This window comes from Homo sapiens, chromosome Y, assembly GCF_000001405.40.
Source record: "Homo sapiens chromosome Y, GRCh38.p14 Primary Assembly".
Lineage (NCBI taxonomy): Eukaryota > Metazoa > Chordata > Mammalia > Primates > Hominidae > Homo > Homo sapiens.
The window spans coordinates 6,412,155-6,438,569 of record NC_000024.10 but is presented as its reverse complement, the minus strand read 5'-3'; the positions used below and the strand labels follow the sequence as shown (position 1 = coordinate 6,438,569).

Genomic DNA, 26,415 nt, shown 5'->3' with positions numbered 1-26,415 from the left:
CATGGGAATGGAATCTTGCACACAGCCTCTCTGGGGAATGAAGGCAGAGGTGCAGGTTGCAAAGACAGTTCACAGTCTCAAAACAACTCCTTCAGCAGAACTTGACCCCGGAGACTGCCCAAAACAGTCCTATGGTCTAGACTTTTTGGGTCTGGCCGTGGGTTATCACAGGCAGTTTTTCTGGCCATGCCAGGCCAGCTCTGCCTGTACCATTTTCCTCTGCTTAAGCAGGCTGACAGCTCTGAGAGACAGGTGCCTGATCCTTCCTCATGAATGCACAGGCACTAGTCTCCGTGGTATCCATGGGATTGTCCCATGATCCTAGCCTGGAGAAACATCAACCACAGCTCCAGGAATATACTGTGAAATCCCAAAGGATCCAAAAGTATACACAGGAATCCTCAGGTCTGGCATTGTAGGCGTGAGTCTTTTTGAAACTTGTCCCACTGTAATTTCTAGGTACAGTTCCCCTGTGTTTCTTGGTGTTGGTCTCTTGCAGATTAGGATTCCTGCAGAACCACACAGCGACAGGAGCTGCCCAACATTTATTTATTTATTTACTTATTTTGCAGGAGTGTTGCAAGTCTTGGATGTCTGCATGTGTCTGTGGCATTGTGTGTGTTTGTGTGCCTGTAAGTGGAGTGTGCTTAAAATAATGTGACTAATGTACTCAGTGCTTCTTCTTTTTTTTTTTTTTGCCTCCAAACATTTCTGGTGGAGTGTTGTGGGTGTTGGATGTCTGTGTGTGTGTGTGTGTGACATTTTGTGTTTGCATGTATGTGTGTGTGTGATTGTAAGTGCAGTCTGCTTAAAGGAATGTTGGTAATGCACTTCAGCACTTCCTTTTTTTGTGTCTCCCAAACTTTTGTTGGCTTGTCTGTGTGACTCTGCTTGGGCTGTGGGGCTCTCTCCCACATGGTGTTTCCTGCACAACAATGCATCCTGAGTAGTTGTTGGGTTGGGTGTTTCTGTGGGAGTGTTGCGAATGTTGGATGTCTGAGTCTGTATGTGGCATTGTGTGTGCCATAAACCACCCTTCCAGAAAGAAGAGGAGCACACTACACAAGAAAGAGATATCTTTCAGTGTTTTATTGTCTTTTGGCCAACCCAGGAGAGACACTAGCATTCCAGTCCACAGGGCCTCTTAAATTAACCTCGAATTCGCATCCCAGCCGAACAGGTGATTCATATGTTGTGGGGGGTGGGCACATTTTTTTATCATTTTGGGATTTCATCCTGGGACATAGAGTGTGGAGAGCAATAAGGTCAAATAGGGGTGATGATACAATCTGGTGAGGGGTGCATGGGTGACACAACTTTACCTGCAAGAGAAATGAAGACAGATGACACAAAAGGTGCTTTCAACCTCATGGCATGGTGTTCAGTTGGAAGTACTCCAAAGTTCAGGGAACATTTGGACTGCAACTGGGGATATCTTGGCAAACTCCAGATTTGAGGGCTTTCATCTCCACAGCCAAGTGGGAGTGAGATGGATTGAAGGTGGGTGGGATGTGGCCTCCACACTTGCCTCTTCTTTTTCTGACTTCCATGTTTCTCGTGGGCCTAGGTTTTCCTGGGTCTGGCTCCAAGTCTTTCACGCTAAATGTTTTCACTTCATGGAGGACAACCCTCATGGGAATCCCTAGTGTTTCCTTCTAAACACTGTCACATTTTAATGACTGGGCAGCTGTGATATTTTAACACCATAAATTCCCATTACAGCCACCAACAAGGAAAGTCTTTTTCTCCCACTTCTATTGGAGGGCTGCATGATTCCTGTAGGATGACAAGCAGGCCATCGTGTCTGGCTTTTAACTGGTAAACTACGATCTGTTTCATTTCATTTGCACGTACTTTCTCATTGTGGAGGGTGTCTTTCATTGGGTTGTTGCTGGATGGGACTGCCTCTTGCCACAGATCTTTTGGCAGCCAGAGATTTCAGGGAGCAAAAGGGAATTTGCATAGGCTTCTGTGCTCCAGGTTATGGGTCATGGTCTGTATGTGGACGCTGACGTTGTTTGAATTTTGCAGGAGGATTTGGGTCCTCTGATGGGAATCTTGAAACATTGCTAGGACTCCAGCACAAATCGGCTCATTCTCTCAGGAGAGCCTTGATTTTTCATTCCTTTCATGTGTGGTTCACTGTGTCCCTTAACAGCAGTACTGAGTACTTTTTTCAGGCTGGCAATCACCACAGAGGGCATTTGAGACATTCTCTTAGCATCATCTGAATGCATGATTGGCCTTTCGAGGTGTGAGAATGCTGCTCCACCTTGGACTTTCCTTTGTTGTTGTTCCTGGCTTTCCCAGAGAGCGGCAGTGAGGCCCAGGGTGAAGGGAGGAAGTGAGGTTAAGAACCCAGTCATCTTTCACTGACACCCACCTCTGATGTCTCAGGTTTGATTTTGTCAGCTAAAGACCCCTCAACAACACACCAGACTATATTCCAATCCCCATGGGACCCGATTCTTGCACACAGACTCTTTCAAAAATGGAGTCAGAAGAGTAGTTTTCAGTAACCACCTCAGAGTCTGGAAATGCCTCAGCCTGAAGGCAGCCCTCAGGTGGAGACTTTTAGGATCCCACAGTAGCTTATAATAGGCAGCCTTTTTCCCGATACCAAACATTCTCTGCCTGTATCATTTTCCTCTGCTTAGGCAGTCTGACAGCTTTGAGAGTTGGCTTCGTGAATGCCCATGTGCTTGTCTCAGGGCACCAGGCCTGAGCTGTGGTCTCTGGCTAGAGTCACAGTGAATGCCACCTTTACCTAGTGACAACTCCCTGCAGCTTGGCAGAAACGGAGACCTTCGTGGAGATGCTTTGGCTGTGGATTTTCCCCTGTCTTCCCTGTGGGATCCAAGGAATAGTCCCATGATGCTTTGAGAGGGCAGATGTGAGCCAGCCTGAAGAAATGTCAAGAAGAGCGCTGGAAATAAACCAAGAAATCCCTATGCATACAAAAAAAAAAAAATCTGCACAATGCCACAGGCTTGCCTAGAGATTGTAGGGTCAATCTTTTTGAAACTTGTCCCATTGTGATTTCTAGTTACAGCCCAACTATGTTCCCTAGGTTTGCTCTCTCCCAGTGGGGGCTTCCTGCAGAACCAGGCAGCATCAGAAGCTGCCAGGCTGTGTTTCCATGGGAGTGTTTTCTGCAAGTGTTAGATGTCTTTCTGTGTTTGTGGCTTGGTGTGTGTGTGTTTGCATGCATGCCTGTGTGTGTGTGTGCCTGTTAGTGGAGTCTGCTTAAAGAAGTATGGCTAATGAATTTCAGCACTTTTTTGGTGGGGGACTCAAAACCTTTTGGTGGCCTTTCTGTGTGTCTCTGCTTGGGGTCCAGAGCTCCGTGTTCTATGGATTATTAATCCACAGTGAATTGGAAGGTGGGCTGATACCTGCAGGCATCCAAGTCAGCTCACCCTGCAAGAAAATTGACTCTTCTAGAAAGAAGAGGGCACACCACACCAAAAAAGAGACATCTCCCAGTGTTTTATTTTCCTGTGGCCAACACACAGAGAGACACTAGCAGTCCTGTCTGCAGGTCCCCTTGAATATACCTTGAAATTCCCAGCCCAGCAGGCACTTCACATCATGAGGAAACACTCCTCCATCATTTTGGGATTTCCTTCTGGGACATAGAGTGTGAGCAGCAATAAAGTCAGATAGGAGGGAAGATACAATCTGATGAGGAGTAAATGGGGTTCTGCAACTTCACCTGCAAAAAAAATTACATGACACAGAAGGTGTTTCCAACACCATTCCCACATTCTTTTAATTGCACAAGCAGTCCATAAAATGACCCAGTGTTCAGATGGAGTCCTCCAATATTTCAGGAAAAGTTGGACTGCAAATTGGGGCTGTTTTGGCAAACTCCCAATTTGAGGGTTTTCATACCCAGAACCAAATGGGAGTGGAAAGGATTGATGTTGAATGGGATGTGGCCACTTTTCTCTTCTTTTCCTGACTTCCATGTTCCTTGTCAGCCTACAGTTTCCTGAGTCTGGCTTAATCACTTGCACACTAAAGGTTTCCCCCTGCATGGAGAATAACCCTCTTAGGAATCCATTGCATGAGTGTTTCCTTCTAAACACAGTTATGTTTTAATGACTCGGCAGGTTTGATATTTTTAAAATTGTAAATTGCCATTACTGCCGCCAACAAGGAAACTCACCGTACTATATTCCAATCCCCTTGGGACCAGATTCTTGCATACAGTTTCTTTTGGAAATGAAGTCAGAAGAGCAGTTTCCAGCCACCACTTCACAGTCCTGGAATGCTTCATACTCCAGTGGGACCCGACCATGTAGATCACAAGACGTGGTCCTAAGTTGAAGACATTTAGAGTACCGCAGTGTGTTATCTCAGGCAGCCTTTTTCTAAATACAAAGCTGGCTCTACTTGTACCATTTTCCTCTGCCTAGGCTAACAGGTCTGAGAGCTGTGTGCATGAGCCATCCTCGCAAATGCATATTCGCTAGTGTCAGGGGCACAAGGCCTTAGCTTTGAGCTCTGGCTAGCATCACCATGAATGTCATAGTTGCCTAAGTCTCTGCATCTTGGCAGCTGAGAAGGAGACTTCTGTGGAGGTGTGGATCCTCGAGATAGTCCCATGATCCTAGAAGAGGGCAGATGTGAACAAGCCTGAAGAAACATCAAGCAGAGCTTCAGCAATAAACCATGAAATCCATAAGGATCTAAAAGGATCTGCAGGATGACTCAGGCATGCCTAGATGTTGTAGGGGTGAGCCTTTTGAAGCCTATACCCCACTGTTTTTTGAAGGGTTTTTTGTGTGTCTATTTCCTTCAGTTCTGCTCTGATCTTAGTTATTTCTTGCCTTCTACTAGCTTCTGAATGTGTTTGCTCTTGCTTCTGTAGTTCGTTTAATTGTGATGTTAGGGTGTCAATTGTAGATCTTTCCTGCTTTCTCTTGTGGGCATTTAGTGCTATAAATTTCCCTCTACACACTGCTTTGAATCCAGGAGCTGGTTTTTTGAAAAGGTCAACAAAATTGATAGACTGCTAGCAAGACTAATAAAGAAGAAAAGAGAGAAGAATCAAATAGATGCAATAAAAAATGATAAAGGGGATATCACCACTGATTCCACAGAAATACAAACTACCATCAGAGAATACTATGAACACCTCTACAAAAATAAACTAGAAAATCTAGAAGAAATGGATAAATTCCTCAACACATATACTCTCCCAAGACTAAACCAGGAAGAAGTTGAATCTCCGAATAGATCAATAACAGGCTCTGAAATTGAGGTAATAATTAATAGCTTACCAACCAAAAAAAGTCCAGGACCAGATGGATTCACAGCCAAATTCTACCAGAGGTACAAGGAGGAACTGATACCATTCCTTCTGAAACTATTCCAATCAATAGAAGAAGAGGGAATCATGCCTAACTCATTTTATGAGGCCAGCATCATACTGATACCAAAGCCTGGCAGAGACACAACAAAAAAGAGAATTTTAGACCAATATCCTTGATGAACATTGATGCAAAAATCCTCAATAAAATACTGGCAAACCGAATCCTGCAACACATGAAAAAGCTTATCCACCATGATCAAGTGGGCTTCATCCCTGGGATGCAAGGCTGGTTCAACATATGAAAATCAATAAATGTAATCCAGCATATAAACAGAACCAAAGACAAAAACCACATGGTTATCTCAATAGATGCAGAAAAGCCCTTTGACAAAATTCAACAACCCTTCATGCTAAAAACTCTCAATAAATTAGGTATCGATGGGACATATCTCAAAATAATAAGAGCTATCTATGACAAACCCACAGCCAATATCATACTGAATGCACAAAAACTGGAAGTATTCCCTTTGAAAACTGGCACAAGACAGGGATGCCATCTCTCACCACTCCTATTCAACACAGTGTTGGAAATTCTGGCCAGGGCAATCAGGAAGGAGAAGGAAATAAAGGGCATTCAATTAGGAAAAGAGGAAGTCAAATTGTCCCTGTTTGCAGATGACATGATTGTATATCTAGAGAACCCTATAATGTCAGCCCAAAATCTCCTTAAGTGGATAAGCAACTTCAGCAAAGTCTCAGGATACAAAATCAACTTGCAAAAATCACAAACATTCTTATACACCAATAACAGACAAACAGCCAAATCATGAGTGAACTCCCATTCACAATTGCTTCAAAGAAAATAAAATACCTAGGAATCCAACTTACAATGGATGTGAAGGATGTCCTCAAGGAGAACTACAAACCATTGCTCAATGAAATTAAAGAGGATACCAACAAATGGAAGAACATTCCATGCTCATGGGTAGGAAGAATCAATATCATGAAAATGGCCATACTGCCCAAGGTAATTTATAGATTCAATGCCATCCCCATCAAGCTACCAATGACTTTCTTCACAGAATTGGAAAAAAAAATACTTTAAAGTTCATATGGAACCAAAAAAGAGCCTGCATAGTCAAGTCAATCCTAAGCCAAAAGAACAAAGCTGGAGGCATCACGCTACCTGACTTCAAACTATACTACAAGGCTACAGTCACCAAAACAGCATGGTACTGGTACCAAAACAGAGGTATAGACCAATGGAACAGAACAGCGCCCTCAGAAATAATGCCGCATATCTACAACTATCTGACCTTTGACAAACCTGACAAAAACAAGAAATGGGGAAAGGATTCCCTATTTAACAAATGGTGCTGGGAAAACTGGCTAGCCATATGTAGAAAGCTGAAACTGAATCCCTTCCTTACACCTTATACAAAAATTAATTCAAGATGGATTAAAGACTTACACATTAGATGAAAACCATAAAAGCTCTAGAAGAAAACCTAGGAAATACCATTCAGGACATTGGCATGGGCAAGGACTTCATGTCTAAAACACCAAAAGCAATGGCAACAAAAGCCAAAATTGACAAATGGGATCTAATTAAACTAAAGAGCTTCTGCACAGCAAAATAAACTGCCATAAGCATGAACAGGCAACCTACAGAATGGGAGAAAATTTTTGCAACCTACTCATCTGACAAAGGGCTAATATCCAGAATCTACAATGAACTGAAACAAATTTACAAGAAAAAAAACAAACAACACCATCAACCAGTGGGCAAAGGATATGAACAGACACTTCTCAAAAGAACACATTTATGCAGCCAAAAAACACATGAAAAAATACTCACCATCACTGGCCATCCGAGAAATGCAAATCAAAACCACAATGAGATACCATCTCACACCATTTAGAATGGGGATCATTAAAAAGTCAGGAAACAACAGGTGCTGGAGAGGATGTGGAGAAATAGGAACACTTTTACACTGTTGGTGGGACTGTAAACAGTTCAACCATTGTGGAAGTCAGTGTGGCGATTCCTCAGGGATCTAGATCTAGAAATACCATTTGACCCAGCCATCCCTTTACTGTGTATATACCCAAAGGATTGTAAATCATGCTGCTATAAAGACACATGCACACGTTTGTTTACTGCGGCACTATTCACAATACCAAAGACTTGGAACCAAACCAAATATCCAACAATGATAGACTGGATTAAGAAAATGTGGCATATTTACACCACGGAATACTATGCAGCCATAAAAAATGATGAGTTCATGTCCTTTGTAGGGACATGGATGAAGCTGGAAACCATCATTCTCAGCAAACTATCACAAGGACAAAAAACCAAACACCGCATTTTCTCACTCATAGGTGGGAATTGAACAATGAGAACACGTGGACACAGGAAGGGTAACATCACATACTGGGAATTGTGGGGTGGGGAGAGGCGGGAGGGATAGCATTAGGAGATATACCTAATGGTAAATGATGAATTAATGGGTGCAGCACACCAATATGGCACATGTATACATATGTAACAAACCTGCACATTGTGCACATGTACCTTAAACTTAAAGTACAATAAAAAAAAGAAACTTACCCCACTGTGATTTCTAGGTACAGCCCACCTGTGTTCCCCAAAGTTCCTCTCTTTCAGTTAGGGCTTCCTGCAGAAGCACGCAAACTCAGAAGCTGCCGTGCTGTGTGTTTCTGTGGAAATGTTGAAAGTGTTGGATGTCTGCATATCTGCGTGGCTTTGTGTGTTTGTGTGTGTGTGTGTGTGTGTTTATGTGTTTGTGTGTGGCTGTAAGTGGAGTCTGCTTAATGGAATGTGGATAACGCACGGCAACACTTCCTCTTTTTGAATCTCCAAACCTTTTGGTGGCCTGTTGGTGTAGCTCTGCTTGGGTTGCAGGGCTCCATCTCCGTTATTTTTCCGTGGAGTATGAATTCTCAGTGAATTAGGAGACAGCGCATCACACTCCAAAGCAAATATCTCTGTGTTTCATTGTCCTGCGGCAGACCCAGGGAGAGAAACTAGCAGAACTATCTGAAGGGCCCTTTGAATTTACTTTGAATTTGGTTCCCAGACAAGCAGAGGCTTCATGTCGTCATGTGGCACTCCTCCATCAACTTGTGATTTCATTCTAGGACAGAGAGTATGAGCAGAAAGAAGGTAAAATATGGGTGAGGATACAATCTGGTGAGGCGTAAATAGACTCCCGCACTTTCTCCCGCAAAAAAAACGTGAAGACTGATGACGCAGAAGCTGCTTCCTATTGCATCCCCACATTCCTTTAATTGCAGAAGCAGTTCACATTATGGCCCGGTGTTCAGGTGGGAGTAATACAATGTTCAGGGAACATTTGGAGTGCAAGTTGAGGGCATTCTAACAAACTCCCAATTTGAGAGCTCTCATACCCTGAGCCAAATGAGAGTGGGATGTATTGATGGTAGGTGGGATGTGCCCTGCACACTTGTCTCTTCTTTTCCTGACTTCCATGTTCCTCATGGCCTAGGATTTCCTGGGTCTGGCTTCACACTTTCCACACTAAGCAATTCACAGTTCATGGAGGACGACCTTCATGGGAATCCAATGCATGAGTGTTTTCTTCTAAACACTGTCACGTTTTAAAGGCTGGGCAGATGTGATGATTTTAACACTGTAAATTTTCATTACAGCCACCAACAAAGAAATTCTTATTCTCTCACTTTTACTGGAGGGATGCATGATTCCTGTAGCATAAAAAGCAGGCAACTATGTTGGGCTTTTGCCTGGAAATCTAGCCTCTGTTTCATTGCATATGCAAGTCCTTTCTCTTTGTATACAAGGTCTTTCACTGGGCTGTTGCTGGATGGGACTGCCTCTCACCACAGATCTATTGGCTGCCAGGGATTTCAAGGATGAAAAGAACTTCAGGTAGGCTGACTCCCTCCGGGTTGTGGTTTTTGGTCTCATTGTGAGTACTGAGGTTGTTTGCACTTTTCAGGAGGCTTTTGGGTACTCTGCCTGGAAACATTGAACATTGCTTGGACTCCAGCACAAAACAGGTCATTCTCTGAGGTGAGCTTTGATGTTTCTTTTCTTTCATAGAGAATCCACAGTACCCTACAAATGCACTGCTGGTCAGTTTCAGGCTTGCTATCACCACAGAGGGCATCTGATACATTGTCTCAACCTCATCTGCACCCGTGAGAGACCAGACCGAAGTGAGAACACTGACCCATGTTGGACTTCTCTTTGTCATGGTTTTTGCCTTTTGCAGAGGGCCCCATCAAGGCCCAGGCTGAAGAGAGACAGTGAGGTAAATAGCCCAGCCATCTTTCATTGGCACCCATCTCTGGGGTCTCACGTATAATTCTCTCACCCAAAGAACCCTCAGCAACACACCAGACCAAATTCCAATTCCCATGAGACCCGATTCTTGCAAAAAGCATCCTTTGGGAATGGAGTAGGAAGAGCAGTTTCCAGCCACCACCTCACAGTCTCAAAATGCCTCCTCCTCCAGCCGGTCTCAACCATGCAGATGGCCTGAAGGGGCCCTGAGGTCGAGACTGTAGAGTCTGACCATGGCTTCTAGCAGGCAACATTTTCACAACACCAGACCGGTTTTACCTGTACCATTTTTTCTCTGCTTAGGCAGGCTGACAGCTCTGACAGCCATGCACTTGTACCTGCCCCGGGAATGCATATGCACTAGTCTCAGGGTACCAGTTCTCATTGTGAACTCTGGCTAGCATCACAATGAATGTCAGCATTGCCTAGAGACAAGTTCCTGCCTCTTGAGGGAGAAGGAGACCTCGCTGTAGGCATGTCAGCTGTGGACTCTTGCCTGTCTTCTCTGTGGGATACTTGGGACAGTCTCATGATCCTACAAGAGGGCAGACATGAGCCAGCTGAAAGAAACATCAAACAGAGCCCCAGGAATAAACGGCAAAACCCCTAAGGATCCAAAAGATCGCAAGATTCCTCAGGCCTGCCTAGATGATGTAAGGGTGAGTTTTCTTGAAACTTGTTTCACTATGATTTCTAGTTACAGCCCACATGTTCCCCCGGGTTGCTTTCACCCAAATGGGGATTCCAGCAAAACCATGCAGCCTCAGAAGCTACCAAGTGCTGTGTTTCTTCAGGAGTGTTGCAAGTGTTGGATGTCTGTGTGTGTTTGGTATTGTGTATTTGTGTATGAGTGTGTTTGTGTGTGTCTATGTGTGCCTGTAAGTTGAGTCTACTTAAAGGAATGTGGCAAACACACTCCAGAGCTTCATTTTTTTGGATCTCCCAACCTTTTGTTGGCCTGTCTCTGTGGCTCTGCTTCGGCTGCGAGGCTTTGTGTTATTTTTTTTCTGTGGATCATGAATCTGCAGTAAATTAGGATGTGGGCTGGGACCCGCCAATGTCCAAATCACCTCCCCCTGCAAAAACAAACAAACAAAAAAACACACACACAAAAAAAAACAACACACTTCTAGAAAGAAGAGAAGCACACCACACCAAAAAACAGACATCTCCCAGTGTTTCAGTGTTCTGTGGCCAACCCAGAAAGAAACACTAGCAGTCCTGTATGCAGGACCCCTTGAATTTACATAGAATTTGGCTCCCAGCTGAGCATGTGCTTCATGTCATGATGGGGAACTCCTCTATCATCTTGGGATATCATCCTTGGACCTAGAATGTGAACAGGGAAAAGTTCAGATAGGGGTGAGGATAAAATCTGGTGAGGAGTGGATGGGGTTCTGCAACTTCATCTGCAAAAAAAAAAAATAATGAAGACAGGTAACAAAGATAGTTCTTCAAACTCCATCCCCTCATTTTCTTAATTGCACAATCTGTCTGCACCTTGGCCCAGTGTTCAGGTGGGAGTACTCTAATGTGCAAAAAACATTTGGACTGCAAATTGGGGCCATCTTGGCAAACTCTGGATTTGAGGCCTTTTATACCCAGAGTCAAATGTGAGTAGAATAGATTGATGATGTCTGGGATGTGGCTTCCACAATGGCCTCTTCTTTTCCTGACTTCCATGTTCCTTATAGGCCTAGGGTTTCCTGGGTCTGGCTCAACGACTTCCACATTAAACATTTCAGAATTCATGGAGAATGGGACTTATGAAAATCCATTGCATTAATTTTTCTTTCTAAACGCTGTCATGTGTTAATGACTGCATGGCTTTGAATTTGTTAAAACGATAAATTCCTGTTACAGCTGCCATAAGGAAACTCGTGTTCACCCACTACTATCAGAGAGATGCATGATACCTGAAAAGTGAGAAGCTGACAGCCGTGTCTGCCTTGGTCTTGTAATCTAGCCTCTGTTTGGCTGCCAGGGATTTCAGAGAGCAAAAGGGACTTTGGTTAGGCTGGCTGCACTCCAGGTTGTGATGCTTGTCTCATAGTGGGAGCTGAGGTTGTTTGCATTTTCCAGGAGGATTTTGGGTCCTCTGACAGGAATTATTCAACAAAGCTTGAACTCCTGCACAAAGCAGCTTGTTCTCTCAGGCAAGCCTTCATATTTTTATTTTTTATTTTTTTTTTGCTTTCACTGGGATTCAACAGTGCCCCTCAACAGCACTAATGGACACCCTTTTTAGACTCGCCATCACTGCAGATGTCCTCTGAGACACTGAATCTCATCAGCACCTGTGAGAGGCCAGTATGAGCTATGAGAACACTGCTCTACCTTGGACTTGCCTTTGTTGTTGTTCCTGCTTTTCCCAGAGGGCCCCTGCAAGGCCCAAAATAAAGGGAGGCAATGAGGTCAAGAGCCAGGCTGTCTTTCTTTGACATTCACACCTGGGGTCTCAGGTATGATTCTATCACTTAAAGAACCCTCAACGACACACCAGACAATTTTCCAATCACCATGGGACCCATTTCTGGCACACAGCCTCTTTTGGGAATGGATTCAGAAGAGCAGTTTCCAGTGACCACCTCACAGTCTGGAAATGCCTCTCCCTCCAGTAGGACCTGACCAGAGAGGTGGCCAGAAAGGGGCGGCCTTAGGTTGAGAGTTTTAGGATCCTGCAGTGGGTTTTCACAGGCAGCATTTTTCCCAATACCAGTCTGGCTCTGCCTGTATTATTTTCCTCTGCTTGGGCAGACTGACAGGTCTGATGGCCAGGCACCTGGGCCTGCCTCACGAATGTGCATGCACAAGTCTCAGGGCACCAGGACTGATATTGAGCTTTAGTGAGCATCCCAATGAATGTCATTGTTGCCTAGCAACAAGTCCCTTCATCTTTGCAGAGAAAAAGGCCTACGTGGAGCTGCGTGGTTGGTGAACTCTTGCCTGTCTTCTCTGTGGAAACCACAGGATAGTCCCATGAGCCTAGGAGAGGGCAAATGAGAGCCAGCCTGAAGAAACATCGACCACAGCACTAGGAATAAACCTCAAAATCCCTAAGGATCCAAAAAAATCGGAAGGATTCCTTAGGCCTGCCTAGACTTTGTAGGTGTGAGTCTTTTTGAAACTTGCAGTACTGTGATTTCTAGGAGCAGGCCACCTGTATTGCCTGGGGTTGCTCTATGCCACATTAGCTTCTTGCAAAACCACACAGCCACAGGAGCTGACAAACTGTTTCTGAAAGAGTGTTGTGAGAGTTGGATGTTGGCATGGGTGTGTGGCTTTGTTTTTTTTGTGTGTGTGTTTGTGTGTGCCTGTAAGTGGAGTCTGCTTAAGGAATGTGGCTACCACACTTTGGTGCTTCTTTTTTTAATTGAGTCTCACAAATTTGGTGGCCTGTCTGTGTGGCTCTGCTTGGGCCGCAGGGCTCCATGTTCTTTATTTTCCTGTGGCTCATGAATCCACAGTGAATTGGGGGCCGGGCTGAGACCTACCAGCATCCAAGTCACCTACCACAGCAAAAAAAGCCACTCTTCTAGAATGAAGAGGAGCACACCACACCAAAACAAAACAAAACAAAAAAAAAAAAAAAGAAAAAAAAAAACAGGCATCTGCCAGTGTTTCATTGTCCTGTGGCCAACCAAGAAAGAGACACTGTCAGTCCTGTCCTCATGGCCCCTTGAATTTACCAAGAATTCAGTTCACTGCCAAGCAGGTTCTTCTGGTCATGAGACGGCACTCCTCCATCGTCTGGGCATTTATCCTGGGACATACAGGGTGAGCAGGAATAGGGTCAGGTAGGAGTGAGGATACAATCTGGTGAAGGTTGGATGAAGCCCCACAACTTCACCTGCAAAAAAAACATGAAGACAGATGACACAGAAGGTGCTTCCAACTCAACCCCCACATTCCCTTAATTACACAAGTAGTCCACACCATAATGTGGGTTCAAGTTGGAGCACTGCAATGTGAAAGGAACATTTGGAGTGCAAATCCGGCCCATCCTGTCAAACTTCTGATTTGAAGGCTTTCAAACCCGGAGCCAAATGGGAGTGGAATGAATTGATGTTGGGTGGGATGTGGCCTCCAAACTTGCCTCTTCTTTTCCTCACTTGCATGTTCCTCATTGGCCTGGGGTTTCCTGGGTTTGGCTGAACAACTGTTACACTAAACATTTCTGAGTTCATGGAGAACATCCCTCATGGGAATCCACTGAGTGAGTGTTTTCTTCTAAACACTGTCACGTTTTAATAACTGGGCAGCTTTGATGCTTTTAAAACTAAATTCCCATTACAGCCACCAACAATGAAACTCTTCTTTTCCCTCTGCTCTCAGAGGGCTGCATGATTCTTGTATTATGAGAAGCATGTAGCTGTGTCTAGATTTTGCCTGGTAATCTAGCCTCTGCTTCATTTCATCTGCTCCTCCTTCTCATTGTGAATGGGTTCTTTCATTGGGCTGTTAATGGATGGGTATGCCTCTTGCCACAGATATTTTGGCTGCCAGGGATTTCAGGAAGCAAAATGGTTATAGAGTAGACTGGCTGCACATCGGGTTTTAGGTCATTGTCTTGTTGTGGGGTCTGAGGTTGTTTGCATTTTGAAAGAGGCTTTTTATTTCTGTGACAGGAATATTGGTACATTGCTTGGACTCTAGCACAAGTCAGCTCGTTCTTTCAGATGATGCTTGATGTTTCTTGGCTTTCATGGGGGATTCACATTGCCACTCAACCACACTACTGGATACACTTTTCAGGCTTGCCATCACCACAGATGGCCTCTGAGACACTGTTTGAACCACATCTGCACCTGTGAGAGGCCAGTTTGAGGTATGAGAACACTGTTTCAATTTGGACTTGCCTTTGTCTTGGTTCCTGCTTTTCCCAGATAGCACCTACCCAACCCAGGATGAATGAGTGCAGAGAGGTCAAGTGCCAGGCCATCTTTTGCTGACACCCTTTTCTGGTATTTCAGGTATAAGTCCATCATCCAAAGACTGCTCAACATCTCACCAGAATATATTTCAATCCTCATGGGGCATGATTCTTTCACAAAACCCCTTTCAGGAATGGAGTCAGAAGAGTAGTTTCCAGAGACAACCTCACAGTCTTGAAACGGCTCTGCCTCCCATGTGATCTGACCATGGAGATGGCATATAAGGGCCCTAAGTTTGAGACTTTTAGGGTACTGCAATGCGTTATCACAGGCAGCCTTTATCCTGATACCAAGCCAGCTCTGCCTGTACCATTTTCCTCTGCTTAGGCAGGCTGACAGCCCTGACACCCTGGTGCTCCAGTTTGAGTCACTATATGTGGATGTGCTAGTCTTAGGGCAATGGACCTGAGCTGTGAGCTGTAGCTAGTGTCACAATGAATGCCAGCTTTGCTAGTAACAATTCCCTTTGGCTTGGTAGAGAAGGAGACCTCTGTGGAGGTACAATGGTGGTGCACTGTCACCTGTCTTCTCTGTGGGATCCATGGGACAGTTCCATGATCCTAGGAGAGGGTAGATGTGAGCCAGCCTGAAGAAATGTCAAGCAGAGCCCCAGGAATGAAGCACAAAATCACTACAGATCCAAAAGGATCTGCAGAATTTGTCAGGCCTGCCTAGACATTGTAGGGGTTAGTCTTATTGAAATGTGTCCCACTGTAATTTCCAACTTCAGCCTTCCTGTGTTCCCAGCAGTTTCTCTCTCCCAGGTGGGGCTTTCTGCAGAATGACACAGCCTCAGAAGCTACTGGGCTGTGTGTTACTGTGGGAGTGTTGCGAGTGTTGGATGTCAGCATGTGTGTGTGGCTTTGTGTGTTTGTGTATGTGTCTGTGTGTGTGTATGTAAATGAATTCTGTGGATCAGGAATCAGCAATGACTAGTTAAGCTGTCTGTGACCAGCCGGGTTCCCCATCGTCTGCCCCTGCCAAAAAAACAGGTACTCTTCTACAAAGAAGAGGAGAGCACCACACCCAAGAACAGACATCTCCCAGTGTTGCATTATAAAGCAGCCAACCCACAGACACTAGCACTCTGGTCTGCATAGCCCCTTTAATTTACCTAGAATTCAGTTCCCAGCCAAGTAGGTGCTTCATGTCCTGAGGGTGCAATCCTCCATCATCTTGAGATTTCATGCTGGTACAGAGAGTGTGACAGCAATAAGGTCAGATAGGGGTGAGTATACAACCTGGTGAAGGGTGGATGGGGTCCCGTACCTTCACCAGCAAAAAGGGTGAAAATAGATGACACAGAATGTGCTTCCAACTCCATCCCCACATTCCCATAATTGCAAAATCAGTCAACAACATGGCCTGGTGTTTAGGTGGGAGTACTCCAACCTGCAGGAAAAATTTGGAGTGCAAATTGTGGCCAATCTGGAAAACTCCTGGTTTGAGGGTTTTAATACCTGTAGTCAAATGGAAGTGGAATAGATTGATGCTGGGTGGGTTGTGGCCTCCACATTTGTGTCCTCTTTTACTGACTTCCATTGTCCTCATTGGTGTAGGGCTTCCTGGATCTGGCTCAACATCTTCCACACTAAACTCTTCCCTGTTCACAGAAGACCATCATAAAAATGCATTGTGTGAGTATTTACTTGTAAACACTGTCACGATTTAATGACTGAGTTTCTGTGATACTTTTAAAATCATAAACTACTATTACAACCAGCAACAGGGAAACTTTTGTTCTCCCACCGTTATCAGAGGGCTGCAGGGTTCGTGAAGGAGGAGAACCAGGCAGCCATGTCTGGCTTTTGCCTTGTAATCTAGGCTCTGTTTCCCTTCATCTGCAGACTATCTTCCAGTCCCCATAGCTATCTGATTCTTCCACACAGCCTCTTTTGAAAATTGAGTCAGAGAGCAGTTTCCAAAGACCCCATCACAATCTCAAATTGCCTCCTCCTCCAGCAGGACCAAACCACTGATACAGCTGGAAGAGGCCCTGGGGTCAAGACATTAACAGTCCTGCAGAGGGTTTTCATATGCAGCCTTTTTCCTGACAATAGGCCATCTCTGCCTGTAACCTTTTCCTCTGCTTAGGCAGGCTGACAGCTCTGACAGCCTGGTGCCCAACCTGTCTCATGAACAAGCAAGCACCACTCTCAGAGCACCAGGCCTGAAAGTGAGCTTTGGCTAGCACCATAATGAACGTCACCATTGCCAGCAACATGTAATAGTCCCATGAATGTAGGAAAGGGCAGACATGATTCAGCCTGAAGAAACCTCAAGCAGAGCCCCAGAAATAAACTGCAAAATCCCTAATAATCCAAAATGATATGCAGGATTCATTAGGCCTGCCTAAATGCTGTAGGGGTGAGAATTTTTGAAAAGTGCCCCTAGGTGATTTTTAGGTACATCCTTCTTCTGTTCTCCGAGGTTGCTCACTCCAAGGTGGGGCTTCCTACAGAACCACTGAGCATCAGGAGCTGCCAGGCTGTGTGTTTCTGTGGGACTGTTGCAAGTGTTGGATGTCTGCATGTGTGTGTGGCATTGTGTGCTTGTTGGTGTGTGTCTGTGTGTGTGTGCTTTTAAGTGCAGTCTGCTTAAAGGAATATGGCTAACACACATCAGTGCTTCTTTTTTTTTAGTTTTCCAACCTTTTTGTGGCCAGTCTATGTGGCTCTGCTTGGGGTTTGGGGCTCCATGTTCTTCATTTTCCTGTGGATCATGAATCCACAGTGAATTCAATGGCAGCTGAGATACCCCGGCATCCAAATCACCACCCCTGTGAAAAAAGCCACTCTTCTAGAAAGAAGAGGAGCAAACCACACCAAAAACAGACAACTCCTAGTTTTTCATTATCTTGAGGCAAACCCAAGGAGAGACACTGTCAGTCCTGTCCACAGGGCCCCTTGAATTAACCTCGAATTCAGTTGTCAGCCAAGCAGGTGCTTCATGTCATAAGGGGGAAAGCCTCCATCATCTTGGGATTTCATCCTGAGAAATAGAGTGTAAGCAGAAATAAAGTCAGATAGGGGTGTGGATACAATCTAGTAAGGGTTGGATGGGGTTCTGCAACCCCACCTGTAAAAAAATATGAATACTGATGACAAACAAGGAGCTTTCAACTCCATTTCCACATTACTTTAAGCACCAGCATTCCACACCATGGCCCACTGTTCAGTTGGGAGTACTCCACAGTAAAAGACCATTTGGAGTGCAAATTGAGGCCGTCCTGGCAAACTCCAGATTTGAGGGCTTTCTTACCTGGAGTCAAATGGAGGTGGAATGGATTGATGCTGGGTGGGATGTGGCCTCCAGACTTGCCTCTTCTTTTCCTGACTTTCATGTTTCTCATGAGCATATGGTTTCCTGGGTCTGGCTCAACGACTTCCACACTAAACATTTCCCAGTTCATGAAGAACAACCCCCATGAGAATTCATTGCATGAATGTTTCCTTCTAAACACTATCAGGTTGTAATGACTGGGGAGCTTTGATACTTTTAAAACCATAAATTCCCATTACTGCCACCAATAAGGAAACTCTTGTTTCTCCCACTTCTACCAGAGGGTTACAGGATTCCTGTAGGATGAGAAGCAGGCAGCCATTTCTGGCTTTTGTCTGGTAATCTAGCCTCTGTTTTATTTCTTCTGCACTGCAGTCTCATTGCGGAGGGGCTCTTTCATTGGGCTGTTGCTGGATGGAACGGCCTCTTGCCACAGATTATTTGGTTGCCAAAGATTTCTGAGAACCAAAGTGACCTCAGGTAGGCTGGCTGAGTCCAGGTTGTGTGTCATTGTCCTGTTGTGGGGACTGAGATTGTTTGCACTTTGTCAGAGGCTTTTGAGCCCTCTGATATGAGTCATTGAACATTGCTTGGACTCCATCACAAGGTAGCTCATTCTTTCAGGTGAGCATTGATTTTTCTTTGCTTTCATGGGGAATCCACATTGCCCCTCAACAGTAGTACTGGACACCATTTTCAGGCTTACCATCACCACAAACAGCCTCTTAGACACTGTCTCAACCTCATCTGCACCTGTGAGTTGTGAGCCCCAGGTGTCAGCACACTGCTTTACTGTGGACTATCCTTTGTCGTGGTTCCTGCCTTTTGCAGAGAGGCCCTGCAAGGACCAGGATGAAGGGAGACAGTGAGGTCAAGAGCCCAGCCATCTTTCACTGACACCCACTTCTGGGTTCTCAGGTAAGTTCCTATCACCAAAATAACCCTCAACAACATACCAGACTATATTCCAATCCCCAAGCGACCTGATTCTTACACAGCCTCTTTTCAGAATGGAGTCAGAAGGGCAGTTTCCAGAGACTCACTCACAGTCATGAAACACCTCCTTCTCCAGAGAAACCTGACAACGGAGATGGCCCAAAGCATTCCTGAGGTTGAGACTCTTAATATCCCACAGTGGATTTTTGCCAGCAGCCTTTTTCATGATACCAACCTGGCTCTGCCTGTACCATTTTTTTCTGCTAAGGCAGGCTGACAGCTCTGACAGACAAGTTCCTACGCTGACATCACGAATATGCACATGCTTGTCTCAGGGCACCAGGCCTGATTGTGAGCTTTGGCTAGCATCACATTAAATGTCACCGTGGCCTAGTGACAAGTCCCTGCTACTTAGCTGAGAAACAGGCCTCTGTGAAGGTGCAGTGGTGTTGTACTCTTGCTTGTTTTCTCTGTGGGATCCATGGGATAGACACATGATCCTAGGAGAGGGCAGGCATGAGCCAGCCTGAAAAAATTCAAGCATAGCCCAAGGAATAAACTGTGAAATCCCCAAAGATCCAAAAGTATTTGCAGGATTTCTCAGTTCCACCAAGATATTGTAGAAATTAGTCTTCCAGAAACTGCCCCACTGTGATTTCTAGATACAGCCCCCAGTTGTTCCCCAGGATTGATGTCTCCCAGGTGGGGTTTCATGAAGAACCACACAGCCTCTAGAGCTGCTGGGCTGTGTGTTTCTGTAGGAGTGTTGCAAGTGTTGGATGTCTGCATGTGTGTTTGTGTCTGTGTGTGTTTGTGTGTGTGTGCCTGTAAGTGGAGTCAGCTTAAAGGAATGGGGCTAACACACTCCAGCATTTCTTTTTTTTTTGAGACTCCTATCTTTTGTTGGCTTGTGTGGCTCTGCTGGAGCTGCAGGGCTCCATGTTCTCTATTTTTCTGTTGATCATGAATCCATGGTGAACTGGGAGGTGGCCTGAGACCCCCCGGCATCCAAATTACCTCCCCTTGAAATAAAAAAAGGCCCTCTCTAGAAAGAAGAGGAGCACACCACACACACACACAAACAAACATATCCCAGTGTTTTCTCATCCTGTGGCCAAATCAGGGAGAGACACTAGTCATCCTGTCTTCAAGGCCCCTTGAATTTACCTCGAATTCAATCAGATGCTTCACATCATGAAGGGACACACTTCTATTGTCTTGGGATTTCATCCTGTGAAATAGAATGTGAGCAGCAATAAGGTCAGATAGAGGTGAGTATATAATCTACTGAGGGGTGGATAGAGTCCCACAATTTCACCTGCAAAGGAATTGTCCACACCATGTCCTGGTTTCAGGTGGAATTACTTCAACCTTCAAGGGACACTTGGTATACAAATTGGGGCCATTCTGGCAAACTTCTCACATGAGAGCTTTCATATCTCAGCCAAATGGGGGTGGAATGCATTAATGCTGTGTGCAATGTGACCCCTAAACTTGCCTCTTCTTTTCCTGACTTCCATGTCCATCATTGGCTGAGGGTTTACTGTGACTGGCTCGATGACTTCCACACTAAACATTTCCCAGTTCACAGAGAATCACCCTCATGGGAATCCATTGCATGAGTGTTTCCTTCTAAACAGTCATGTTTTAATGACTGGGCATCTTAGATACTTTTAAAACAATAAATTCCCATTACAGCTGCCAGCAAGAAAACTCCTGTTCTCCCTCTTCTATTGGAGGGCTGCATGATTCCTGAAGAATGAAAATCAGGCAGCCATGTCTGGCTTTTGCCCAGTAATCCAGCATTTGTTTCATCTCATCTGCACCACCTTCTGATTGTGGAAGTGATTTTTTATTGGGCTGCTGCTGGATTGGACTGCTTTTCACCACAAATTATTTAGCTGCCAGGGATTTCATAAAGCAAAAAGGTCTTTGGGTAGGCTGGCTGCACTATAGGTTTTGGGTCATTTTCTCATTGTGGTGACTGAGGTTGTTAGCACTTTGCAGCAGGGTTTTGGGTCCTCTGACAGGAAATATTGAAAATTTCTGGGCTCCATCACAAGGCAGCCCATTCTCTCTGGTGAGCATTGATTTTTCTTTGTTTTCATGTTGAATCCACAGTGCCCCTCAATAGCACCACTGGACACTCTTCTCAGGCTTGCCATTGCCACAGACAACCTCTGAGACATGGTCTCAATTTTATCTGCACCCATGAGAGGCCAGTCCAAAGTACTGTTTCACATTGGACTTGGCTTTTTCATGGTTCCTTCCTTTCTCAAAGAATCCCTGCAAGGCCCAGGATGAAGGGAGACAGTGAGGTCAAAAGCCTGGCCATCTTTCACTGACACCCCATCGTATTCGATTCTGGCACACAGCCTCCTATGGGAATGAAGCTGGAAGAGTGGATTCCAGTGACAACCTCACAGTCTTGAAATGCATCCTCCTCCAGTGGGACCCGACCACAGAGGCTGCCTGAAGGGGCCCTGAGGTTGAGACTTTTGGGGACCCACAGTGGGTTTTCACAGGCAGCATTTTTTCTGATAGTATGCCAGCTCTGCCTCTACCATTTTTCTCTGCTAGTCAGACTGACAGCTGTAAGAGCTGGGTGCCCGAGCCTGCTTCATGAATGCACATGCACTATTCTCCAGGTCAGACTGTGAGCTCTGGCTAGCATCCCAAAAATATCACCACTGCCTAGCCACAAGTCCCTGCCTCCTGTCAGAGAAGGAGACCTCCGTAGAGGTTTGTCCATGGTGAACTGTCACCTGTCTTCTCTGCAGAATCCGCGGGATAGTCCCATGATCCTAGGAGATTTCAGATGAGAGACAGTGTGAGGAAATGAAAGCATAGTCCCAGGAATAAACTGCAAAATCTTTAGGAATCCAAAAGGATCTGCTGTTTACCTCAGGCCTGCCTAGATGTAGGTGTGAGTTTTTTTGAAACTTGCCCCCATGTGATTTCTAGTTACAGCTCGCCTGTGTTCCCCAGGGTTGCTCTATGCCAGGTGTGGCTTCCTGCAGAACCACACAACCTCAGAGGCTGCCAGACTGTGTGTTTCTGTGGGAGTGTTGTGAGTGTTGAAAGTCTGTGTATGTGTGTGGCATTGTGTGATTGTGTGTCTCTGTGTTTGTGCTTGTATGTGCAGTCTGCTTAAAGAAATGTGGCTATCACACTTCACTGCTTCTTTTTCTGTGTCTCCAAACCTTCTGTTTGGCCTTTATGTGTGGCTCTGCTTGGCTTGCGGGGCTCCATGTTTTTAAATTTTCTGTGTATCGTGAATCCGCAGTGAATTGGGAGGCGGGCAAGGATCCACTGGCATCCAAATCACCTCCTCCTGAAAAAAAAGTCCACTTTTCTAGAAAGAAGAAGGACACACCACACCACAAAAAGTGGAAAAATTGACATCTGCCACATTTCATTGCCCTGCTTCCAACCCAGGGAGAGGCAATTAAAGTCCTGTCTGCAGGTGCCCTTGAATTTACCACAAATTCAGTTTCCAGCCATGCAGGTGCTTCAAATCATGAAGGGTCCCTTCTCCATTGTCTTAGGTTTTCATTCTGGGACATTGAGTGTGAGAAGGAATAAGGTGAGACTGGAGTGAGGATACAATTAGATGAGGGGTGGAAGGGGTCCCACAACTTCCCATGCAATAAAAATGAAGACAATTGATGCAGGAGGTGATTCTACGTCTGTACTCACATTTAATTAATTGCACAAACAGTCCACACCATGGCCCCAATGTTCAGGTGGGAGTTCTGCAATGTGCAAGGAATATTGGAAGTGCCAGTTGGGACCATCCTGGCAAACTCTGGATTTGAGGTCTTTCATACACGGAGGCAAATGGGAGTGCAATGTATTGATGCTGGGTGGCATGTGGCCTTCACACTTGCCTCTTCTTTTCCTTTCTTCCATGCGCCTCATTGGCCTAGGGTTTCCTGGGTCTGGCTCAACAACTTCCACACTAAACATTTCCCAGTTCATGAAGAATGACCCTCACTGGAATCCATTGTGTGAGTGTTGGTTTCTAAGCATTGTCACATTTTAATGACTGCACAGCTTTAATATTTTTAAAACTGTAAATTTGTATTACAGTCACCAACAAAGAAACCCTTGTTCTCCCACTTGCATCAGAAAGCTGCACGATTTCTGAAGGATAAGAAGCAGGCAAACATGTCTAGCTTTTGCCTGGTAATCTAGTCTCTATTTTATTTCATCTTCACGGCCTTCTCATTGTGGGAGGGCTGTTTCTTTGGGCTGTTCCTGGATGGGACTCCCTCTCTCTACAGTTTAATTAACTGCCAGGAATTTTAGACAGCAAAAGGGACTTTGTGTATGCTGGATGGGCTCCATGTTGTGATTGTTGTCTCGTTCTGGGGGCTGAGGTTCTTTGCACTTTGTGGGAGGCTTTTGCGTCCTCAGACAGGAATCGTTGAACATTGCCTGTACTCCAGCACAAGGCAGCTTGTTCTCTCATGCGAGCCTAGATTTTTCTTTGCTTTCATGGGGGATCCACAGTGTCCCCCAACTGCACTACTGCACATACTGTTCACCCTTGCCATCACCACAGATGACATCTGAGACACTGTTTCAATGTCATCTGTGCCCTTGAGAGGCCAGTCTGAGGTGTAAGAACAGGTCAAGTGCCGCCTCTGGGGTTTCAAGTATGATTCTTTTACCCAAAAAACCCTCAACAAAGTCTGATTCTATCACCCAAAAACCCCTCAACAGCACGCCAGACTATAAACCAATTTCCATGGGACCTGATTCTGACACACATTCTCTTTTGGGAATGGAGTCAGAACAGCAGTTTCCAGAGACCACCTCACAATCTCAAAATGCCTTCTCCTCCAATGGGACCCGATCACAGAGACGGACGAAGGGGCCCAGAGATGGAGACTTTTTTGGGTCCAGCAATGGGTTTTCACAGGCTGCTTTTTTTCTGATACCAGGCAGGTTCTGCTGTACCATTTTCCTTGGTTAGGCAGGCTAACAGCTCTGACAGCCAGGTAAGTGAACCTAACTCATGAATGTGTTTGCACTAGTCTTGGGGCACCAGACCTGATTGTGAGCTCTTTTGAGCATCACAATGAATGTTATCATTGCCTAGCAACAAGGCCCTGAGGCTTGGTGGAAAAAGGAGACCTTCATGGGGGTGCATCTGCAGTGGACTCTGCTTTTATTCTCTGTGAAATCCATGGCATAGTCCCACAATCCTAGGAGAGGGCAGAAGTGGATTCCTCAGGCCTGCCTAGACATTGTAGGGGTGTGTTTTTGAAACTTGCCCCACTGTGATTTCTAGTTACAGCCCCCCTTGTGTTGTGCATTGTTGCTCTATGCCATGTGGGGTTTCCTGCAGAACCACACAGCTTCAGGCGAGACCAGGCTGTATGTTTCTGTGGGAGTGTTGCAAATGTTCAAAATCTGCATGTGTGTTTGTGGCATTGTGTGTTTGTGTGTGTGTGCATGTGTGTGTCTGTAAGTGGAGTCTGCTTAAAGGAATGTAGCTATTGCACTATAGCATTTTTTTTGAGTCTCCAAAAATTTTGGTGACTTGTCTCTGCTGTTTTACTTGGTATGTGTGTTCTTTATTTTTCTGTGGATCATGAATGCAGTTAATTGAGAGGCTGGCTATGACCTGCTAGGGTCCAAGTCCCCTCCACCTGCAAAAGTGTCACTCTTCAGGAAAGAACAGGAGAAAACCACACCTAAGAATAGACATCACAATGTTTTTCATTGTTCTGTGGCCATCCCAGGGAGAGACAATAGCAGTGTTGTTCACAAGACCCTTTGAATTTACCTAGAATTTGGTTCCCAGGAGAGCAGGTTCTACATGTCATGAGGGGCAACTCCTCCATCGTTTTGGGATTTTTTTTCTGGAACAGAGAGTGTGAGCAGCAAAAAGAACAGTTAGGGGTGAGGATACAATCTGCTGAGGGGTGTATGGGGTCCCACACCTTAGCTTGCAAAAAAGTTTAAAACAGATGACACAGAAGGTGTTTCCAACTGCATTGCCAAATTCCTTTAGTTGCAAAAGCAGTCCACACAATCCCCATTGTTCAGGTGGGAGTACTCCAACGTTCAGGGAATATTTGGAGTGCAAACTGGGGCCATCCTCACAATCTCCCAATTTGAGGGCTTTTATATCTGAAGCATAATGGGAGGGCAATCGATAGATACTGGGTGGCATGTGGCCTCCACACTTGCCTCTTGTTTTCTTGACTTCCGTGTTCCTTTTCAGCATAGGGTTTCCTTGGTCTGGCTCAATTTCTTCCAAACTAAATGTTCCCAGTTCATGGAGGACGACCCTCATGGGAATTCATTGAGTGAATGTTTCCTTCTAAACACTGTCACGTTTTAATGACTGGAGAGTTGTGATACTTTTAGAACTGTAAATTCCCGTTGCAGCCACCAACAAGGAAACTCTTGTTCTCCCACTTCTATCAGAGGGCTACACAGTTTCTCTAGGATGAGAAACAGGCAGGCATTTCTGTCTTTTGCCTGGAAATCTAGACTCTATTTCATTTCATCTATATGTCCTTTCTTATTGTGGAGGGGATCTTTCATTGGGCTGTTTCTGGATGGGGGTGCCACTCACCACAAATCTTTTGGCTGCCAGGGATTTCTGAAAGCAAAAGGGAATTTAGGCAGGCTGGCTGAGCTCCAGCTTGTGGGTCATGGTCTCATTGTTGCAGCTGAGGCTGTTTGCAATTTGCAGGAGGATTTAGGGTCCTGTGACAGAAATCTTTGAATGTTACTTGGACTCCAGCACAAGTCAGGTGGTTCTCTCAGGCAGGCCTTGAATTTTCTTTGCTTTCATCTTGGGTCCACAGTGCCCCTCAACAGCATTACTGGAAACCCTTTTTAGGCTTGCATTCATCACAGACGGGCTCTGAGACACTGTCTCAACCTCATCTGAATCCGTTAGGGGTCAGCTCGAGGTCAGAGAACACTGCTCTGCCTTGGACTTGCTTTTTTCGTGGTTCCTTCCTTTCCCAGAGGGCCTCTGCAAGGCCCAGCATGAAGGGAGGCAGTGAGGTCAAGAGCCCAGCCATCTTTTGATGACACCCACCTCTGGTCTCTCAGGTATGATTCCACCACCCAAAGAGCCCTCAACAACTCACCAGAATATATTCTAACCTCCATCTGTCCAGACTCTTGCACACAGCCTTTCAGGAATGGAATCAGAGTAACACTTTCCAAAGACCACCTCGTAGTCTCGAATCACCTCCTTCTCCAGTGGGACCTGGCCACAGGAATGACTTGTAGAGGCACTACAGTTGAGACATTTATGGTCCCTCATTGAGTTATTGTAGGCAGCATTTTTTTCAATACCGTGCCGGCTCTTCCTGTATCTTTTTTTTTCTTTTTTTTTTAGGCTGGCTGACAGGTCTGACAGCCCATCACGAAAGCCTGCATACTCTTAGACACAAGGACTGAGCTATGGGCTCCAGCTAGCATCACAATGAAGGCCACCATTGCCTAGGGATAAGTCCCTGTGACTTTGTGGATAAGAACTCCGTGGAGGTGAGTCAGCGGTGGACTCTCGCCTATCTTCCCTGTGGGATTCCCACGATAGTCCCATGGGCCTAAGG

At 45.4% G+C, this 26,415-nt stretch overlaps 1 long non-coding RNA gene across 1 annotated transcript in view; it reads left to right on the top strand.

Annotated features, from left to right (window-relative positions):
• The first annotated feature begins 10,125 nt into the window (after nt 1-10,125).
• Nucleotides 10,126-26,415, top strand: part of TTTY2B (testis expressed transcript, Y-linked 2B) — a 22,201-nt gene continuing 5,911 nt past the window's right edge. Inside the window, exons 1-4 of the long non-coding RNA NR_003590.1 lie at nt 10,126-10,330; nt 16,165-16,242; nt 18,719-18,805; nt 26,199-26,347. This is a non-coding gene — a long non-coding RNA (testis expressed transcript, Y-linked 2B). The remainder of the gene's footprint in view (nt 10,331-16,164; nt 16,243-18,718; nt 18,806-26,198; nt 26,348-26,415) is intronic.